This window comes from Homo sapiens, chromosome 3, assembly GCF_000001405.40.
Source record: "Homo sapiens chromosome 3, GRCh38.p14 Primary Assembly".
Lineage (NCBI taxonomy): Eukaryota > Metazoa > Chordata > Mammalia > Primates > Hominidae > Homo > Homo sapiens.
Window position 1 is genome coordinate 106,316,064 of NC_000003.12, and position 8,418 is coordinate 106,324,481.

Sequence of the window (8,418 nt, forward strand, 5' to 3'; positions counted from 1 at the left end):
AGCATTGAGTTCAAGATTTTGATCTGAGAACCTAGCTTTTATAAAACTTTACCTAGGTCTTTTTCTTATAGACTATTAAACCTTTAATTAACTGTTCCATCACCCTAAGCATTTATTAGTCAGGCAAACCTAAATTTACATTTCCAAAAAGTATTTAGGTTGTTGGTTGCCATGGAGCTGTTGTAAACTGCAAAGCAATTAATTTCAAAGCCCTTTAAGAATTTAAAAGAAAATCTTGGCTGGAACGCCATAAGCAGTGAGTTTTCTCAACACCTGCAGAAGAGTCAGCTGGTTCAAAATAGGTATAAAAACAGAGATAGCTAAACAGAAAACTTAGAAAGCTTTACATGTTAACTCTATAGTTGCAGGGCTTTTTTTAAGAGAGTTCAAATAATGACAATTTGAGCTCTCAATTTTCCTTGACATAATTTTCTTATCAGTTAAAATCTCTTTCTCATGTGCATGAGGAAGAGAATCAGATGGCCAACAGGAGCCATGACTAGATTGCAGCACCCGACAGAGCAGCTTGCGGAAGCTCGCATTGTGATTTTTAGCTCCAGATTGACTGCAAGAACAAACCAGCAATTCCAGGAGGACCTACAGACCCTCTGAAGGAAGCAAACTGCTCCTGCAGGACTGGGAGACACCCTAAATACTGTGAGTGCCCCAACTGCAGAAGTAGAAAAGGGAGACTCCCCTCTCCTGCACACACACCTCCACTGGAGAAGCTGAAGGTCTGTTTGTGGGGGAAGTTTCTGACCTTACCTGGAGTTGAGCCAATTTAGTGAGCCAAGTGAAATACAGGGGTAGAGGAAGCAGCAGAAAGGCTCTGGGAGCTCACTGCAGCCCCTAGCAGGCCATTCCTGCCTGGCACCACAGGAATCCATCAGGTGGGTGATCAGAGAGTCAGAGGGTATAACTCCACAAGGAGAAGGAAATGTCTAGCTGAATTTTGTAACAATTTGAACAGGGCAAGAAGCCTCCTAGCCAGAACTCAGGGGAAGGCGTAAAATCTGGTGTGCAGAATCCACAGGCAGCGGAAGGACCAAGCCCTTTTCTCTCTAAGCTGGGAGGTGGGTAACCCAGGGCAAATTTTCAGTCTCATCACGCCCTCCATCTGGAAACAGATTCAGAGCTGTTGGGGAGAGCACGGTTGGAGTGAGAACAGCCCTTCGTTTTGGGTGACAGCTGAGTGAGGTCTGTGACAGCTACCTTTCCCCCACTTCCAAGACAACCTGCATGAATCAGCAGACACAGCCATAATCCTATTAGGTACACAGCTCCAGTGACTGAGAATTTCACCCCCATTCCCCGCAGCAGCTGTAGCAAGACCTGCCCAAGGAGAGTCTGAGCTCAAACACGTCTAGTCCCACCTCCACTTGGTGGTCCTTCCCTATCCACCCTGGTAGTGGAAGACAAAGGACATATAATCTTGGGAGTTCTAGGGCCATGCCTGCTGCTAGTGCCTCTCTATACTACTGTAGCTGATGCTTTCTGGAAATTGCCTCCTAGGAGGAGGTCAACCAGCACAAAAATAGAGCATTAAAACACCAAAGCTGAGAACCTTCACAAAGTCCATTGCACCCCCCTGCCACCTTCACTGGAACAGGCACTGGTATCCCTGGCTGAGAGACCCATACGCAGTTCACATCACAGGACTCTGTGCAGACAACCCCCAGTTCCAGCCTGGAGCCAGGTAGACTCACTGGGTGGCTAGACCCAGAAGAGAGACAACAATCACTGCAGTTTGACTTACAGGAAACCACATCCATAGGAAAAGGGGAGGGGTACTACATCAAGCAAACACCCCATGAGACAAGAGAATCTGAACAACAGCCTTCAGCTGTAGACCTTCTGTCTGACAGAGCCTACCCAAATGAGAAGGGACCAGAAAACCAACCCTGGTAATATGACAAAACAAGGCTCTTCAACTTCACCCCAAACTAGTTTACCAGCAATGGATCCAAACCAAGAAGAAATCCCTGATTTACCTGAAAAAGAATTCAGGAGGTTAGTTATTAAGCTAAACAGGGAGGGACCAGAGAAAGGCAAAGCCCAATGCAAGGAAATCCAAAAAATGATCCAAGAAGTGAAGGGAGAAATATTCAAGGAAATAGATAGCTTAAAGAAAAAACAGTCAAAAATTCAGGAAACTTTGGACACACTTTTAGAAATGTGAAATGCTCTGCAAAGTCTCAGTGATAGAATTGAACAAGTAGAAGAAAGAAATTCAGAGCTTGAAGACAACGTTTTTGAATTAACCCAATCCAACAAAGACAAAGAAAAAGAATAAGAAAATATGAACAAAGTCCCCAAGAAGTCTGGGATTGTGTTAAATGATCAAACTTAAGAATAATTGCAGCACTTTGGGAGGCCAAGGTGGGTGGATCAGGAGGTCAGGAGATCGAGACCATCCTGGCTAACACGGTGAAACCCTGTCTCTACTAAAAAAATACAAAAAAAATTAGCTGGGCATGGTGGTGGGTGCCTGTAGTCCCAGCTACTCGGGAGGCTGAGACAGGAGAATGGCGTGAACCTGAAAGGCAGAGCTTGCAGTGAGCCGAGATTGAGCCACTGCACACCAGCCTGGGTGACAAAGCAAGACTCTGTCTCAAAAAAAAAAAAAAAAAAAAAATTGGTGCTCCTAGGAAGGAGAGAATTCTAAAAGCTTGGAAAACATATTCAGGGGAACAATTGAGGAAAATTTCTACAGCCTTGCTAGAGACCCAGACGTCAAAATACAAGAAGCACAAAGAACACCTGGGAAATTCATCACAAAAAGATCGTCGTCTAGGCACATTGTCATCAGGTTATCCAAAGTTAAGATGAAGGAAATAATCTTAAGAGCTGTGAGACCGAAGAACCAGGTAACCTATAAAATAAAACCTATCAGATTAATAGCAGATTTCTCAGCTGAAACCCTACAGGCTAAAGGGGATTGGATCCCCATCTTTAGCCTCCATAAACAAAACAATTATCAGCCAGGAATTTTGTATCCAGTGAAACTTAGCATCATATATGAAGGAAAGATACAGTCATTTTTAGACAAACAAATGGTGAGAATTTGCCATTACCAAGCACCACTACAAGAACTGCTAAAAGGAGCTCTAAATCTTTAAACAAATCCTGGAAACACATCAAAACAAAACCTCTTTAAAGTATAAATCACATAGGACCTATAAAATTAAAATACATGTTCAAAAGCAAAAACAAAAAATAAACAAACAAAAAAGACGCAGACAACAAAAAGTATGATGAATGCAACAATACCTCACACTTCAATACTATTGAATATAAATGGTTAAAATGCTCCATTTAAAAGATATAGAACTGCAGAATGGATAAGAACTCACCGACCATCTGCTGCTCTCAGGACACTCACCTAACACATAAGGACTCACATAAACTTAAGATAAAGGGATGGAAAAGGGCATTTCATGCAAATAGACACCAAAAGCAAGCAGGGGTAGCTGTTCTTATATCAGACAAAACAAATTTTAAAGCAACAGCAGTTAAAAGAGACAAAGAGGCACATTATATAACAGTAAAAGGCATTGTCCAACAGGAAAATATCACAATCCTAAACATATGTGCACCTAACACTGGAGCTCCCAAATTTATAAAACAATTGCTAATAGACCTAAGAAATGACATAGACAGCAACACAATAATAGCGGGGGACTTCAATACTCCACTGACAGCACAAGACAGGCCATCAAGATAGAAAGTCAACAAAGAAACAATGGATTTAAACTATACCTTGGAACAAATAGCCTTAACAGATATATACAGAGCATTTCATCCAATAACCACAGAACACACATTCTATTCAACAGCGCATGGAACTTTCTCCAAGATAGACCATATGATAGGCCATAAAACGAGCCTCAATAAATTTAAGAAAATTGAAATTATAACAAGCACTCTCTCAGACCATAGTGGAATAAAACTGGAAATCAACTCCAAAAGAAACCTTCAAAAGCATGCAAAAACATGGAAATTAAATAACCTGTTCCTGAATGAGCAATGGGTCAAAAACAAAATCAGGATGGAAATTTAGTAATCATTCCAACAGAATGACAATAATGACACAACCTATGAAGACCTCTGGGATACAACAAAGGTGGTGCAAAGAGGAAAGTTCATAGCCCTGCGCACCTGTATCAAAAAGTCTGAAAGTGCACAAACTGACATCCTAAGGTCACATCTCAAGGAACTAGATAAACAAGAACAAACCAAACGCAAACCCAACGGAAGAAAGGAAATTACCAAGATCAGAGCAGAACTAAATGAAGTAGAAACAAATAAACAGAAAGTAATACAAAAGAGAAATGAAACAAAAAGCTGGTTATTTGAAAAGATAAATAAAATTGATAGACCGTTAGGAAGATTAACCAAGAAAAGAAGAGAGAAAATCCAAATAATCTCACTAAGAAACAAAACAGGAAATATTACAACTGACACCACTGAAATACAAAAGATCATTCACAGTTACTATGAACACCTTTATGCACATATACTAGAAAACCTAGAAGAGATGCATAAATTCCCAGAAAACTGCAACCCTCCTAGCTTATGTCAGGAAGATTAGATATCCTGAACAGACCAATAACAAGCAGCGAGATTGAAATGGTAGTTAAAAAATTACGAACATAAGAAAGTTTAAGACCACAGATGGATTCATAGCAGAATTCTACCAGACATTCAAAGAAGAATTGGTACCAGTCTTTTTGACACTCTTCCACATGATAAAGAAAGAAGCAACCCTCCCCAATTCATTTTATGAAGCCAGCATCACCCTAATATCAAAACGAGGAAAGAACATAACAAAAAAATAAAACTACAGACTGATATCCTTGATGAACATTGATGCTAAAGTCCTTAACAAAATACTACCTAACCAAATCCAACAACATGTCAAAAAGATAATCCACCATGATCAAGTGGGTTTCATACCACGGATGCAGGGATCCAGGAATGGTTTAACATAAGCAAGTCAATAAATGTGACACACCACATAAACAGAATTAAAAACAAAAATGACATGATCATCTCAATAGATGCAGAAAAACCATTCAACAAAATCCAGCATCCCTTTACGATTAAAACTCCCAGCAAAATCGGCATTCAAGGGACATACCTTAATGTCATAAAAGCCATCTATGACAAACTCACAGCCAAGATAATACTGAATGGGGAAAAGTTGAAAGCCTTCTTTCTGAGAACCGGAACAAGACAAGGATGCCCACTATCACCACTCCTCTTCACCATAGTACGAGAAGTCCTAGCCAGAGCAACCAGACAAGAGAAATAAGTAAAAGGCATCCAAATCAGTAAGGAGGAAGTCAAACTGTCACTGCTTGCTGACGATATGATTGTTTACCTTGAAAACCCTAAGTACCTCTCTAGAAAGCTCCTAGAACTGATAAAAGAATTCAGCAAAGTTTCCATATACAAGATTAATGTACATAAATCAGTAGCTCTTCTATACACCAACAGTTACCAAGTGGAGAATCAAATCAAGAACTCAATCCCTTTTACAATAGCTGCAAAATAAATAAATAAATAAATAAATAAATAAATAAATAAATAAATAAAATACTTAGGAACATACCTAACAAAGGAGTCGAAAGACCTCTACAAGGAAAACTACAAAACACTGCTGAAAGAATTCATAGATGACACAAAGAAATGGAAACACATCTCATGCTCATGGATGAGTTAGAAGCAATAGGGTGAAAATGACCATAATGCCAAAAGCAATCTACAAATTCAACACAATCTCCAACAAAATACTTCCATCATTCTTCACAGAATTAGAAAAAACAATTCTAAAATTCATATGGAACCAAAAAAGAGCCCACATAGCCAAAGCAAGAGTAGGCCAAAAGAACATATCTGGAGGCATCACACTACTTGATTTCAAACTATACTATAAGGCCATAGTCACCAAAACAACATGGTACTGGTATAGACCAATGAAACAGAATAGAAAACCCAGAAATAAAATCAAATAATAAAATCAAATAGCCAACTGACCTTTGACAAAGCAAACAAAAACATAAAGTGGGGAAAGGACACCCTTTTCAACAAATGGTGCTGGGATAATTGGCTAGGTACATGTAGGAGAATGAAACTGGATCCTCATCTATCACCTTACACAAAAATCAATTCAAGATGGATTAAGGACTTAAACCTAAGACCTGAAACTATAAAAATTCTAGAAGATAACATTGTAAAAACCCTTCTACACATTGGCTTAGGCAAGGATTTCATGACCAAGAACCTAAAAGCAAATGCAATAAAAACAAAAATAGCTGGTACTTAATTAAACTAAAGAGCTTTTGCATGGCAAAAGGAACAGTCAGCAGACTAAGCAGACAACCCACAGAGAGGGAGAAAATCTTCACAATCTATGTACCTGACAATGGACTAATATCCAGAATCTACAGAGAACTCAAACAAATCAGTAAGAAAAAAATAAACAGTCCCATCAAAAAGTGGGCTAAGGACATGAAAAGGCAATTCTCAAAAGAAGATGTACAAATAACCAACAAACATATGAAAAATATGCTCAACATCACTAATGATCAGGGAAATGCAAATCAAAACCACAATATGATACCACCTTATTCCTGCAAGAATGGCCAGAATCAAAAAATAAAAATACTGTACTGTAGATGCTGGTGTGGATGCAGTGAACAGGGAACACTTCTACACTGCTGTTGGGAATGTAAATTAGTACAGACACTATGGAAAACAATGTGGAAATATGGAAATACGGAAAGCAATATTTCCTTAAAGAGCTAAAAGTAGAACTACCATTTGATCAGTAATTCCACTACTGGGTATCTACCCAGAAAAAAAGAAGTCATTATTTGAAAAAGATACTTGCACACGCATGTTCATAGTGGCCCAATTCACAATAGCAAAATCATGGAACCAACCCAAATGCCCATCAATCAATAAGTGGATAATTAAACTGTGATATATATATATTTATATATATATATCACATCATATATATATATATGAGAATATATATATATATGAGAATATATATATATATGAGAATATATATATATATGAGTATATATATATATATGAGAATATATATATATATGAGAATATATATATATATGAGAATATATATATATATATGAGAATATATATATATATATATGAGAATATATATATATATATGATGGAATGAATTAACAGCATTTGCAGTGACCTGGATGAGTTTGGAGACTATTATTCTAAATGAAGTAACTCAGGAATTGAAAACCAAACATCGTATGTTCTCACTGATATGTGGGAGCTAAGCTATGAGGATGCAAATGAATAAGAATGATACAGTGGACTTTGGGGACTTGGGGGGAAGAGTGGGAGGGGCGAGGGATAAAAGACTACTAATATGGTACAGTGTGTACTGCTCAGGTGATGGGTGTACCAAAATCTCACAAATCACTAAAGAACTTACTCATGTAACCAAATGCCACCTGTACCACAATAACTATGGAAAAAATAAATAAATTAATTAAAAAATATGAATGAGAATATTCATAATATGTAGCCAGCTGAGGTCTCAAATAACCTGGTATGTCTTAATGTTTGAGAATCTCATTCCATTTCTTCTTAACCTCCTGAGAGCAAAGAAAATGCTATAAATCTTATCAGAGCATATCAGGAGTTTTGACTGCTGTTGCTGATTGTGGTGACTGCCCTAGCGGCTTTTAATTACTCATCCTGTATCCACTGTTCAGAAAGTTTATTTTTGCTCTTGAGAGATTTTTAGAAATAAGCAAGAGAAAAGAGCTGACTCCTTTACAGACATGTATACCAAGATGACACCAAGATAAGACTTTTCACAAAAATTTTTAAGCTAGGCATGCAGATCAAACAAAATATTAAATTAGACACACAGAATTAAAAGTGAATTTGACAGAAAAGACATGCCTCAAAGACATAACATAATTTCTGTTGAAACCAGGGTTCTCAAATGAGGACACTTGACTTTATACAAGAATGGACTTGCCAGAAAAGGCAAGAAGTCCTTTATCACCCCAGGAGGGATGTCAGATTCTTTATTAAGGCAGCCTTATCCAAATTAGATTCTGGATAAAGGAAGAGCGTCAACTAAAAAATGGAAGGCTCAGCCTGACAGAAGATTCCCCAGGGCAGAAAGGCAAGCTGTGGAAACAGAGTTCAAAGGGCTCCAGTGAGTACTGTACACTGTTTCCAAGAATTGTCAATTCCTTCTGAAAGTGACCTTACATAAGATCCCACTTCTGACACCATTTTGTTAACCTAAATAACAAACATAGAGAGGATGTCTGAAAGAAATGATATTTATTCAGAAATCGGGAATTGGAATGGGAATACTTATGCCATTGTATACTTTGTGTGTAGTCAGGA

At 38.1% G+C, this 8,418-nt stretch overlaps 1 annotated feature.

Annotated features, from left to right (window-relative positions):
• Positions 530-1,729: an enhancer, noted in NCBI's record as "BRD4-independent group 4 enhancer chr3:106035440-106036639 (GRCh37/hg19 assembly coordinates)". NCBI's record gives its function as "activates an origin of replication core promoter dependent on BRD2, P300/CBP, MED14 and CDK7 cofactors, and independent of BRD4, by STARR-seq in HCT116 cells {active_cell/tissue: HCT116}" and the evidence as "EXISTENCE:reporter gene assay evidence [ECO:0000049][PMID:35650434]".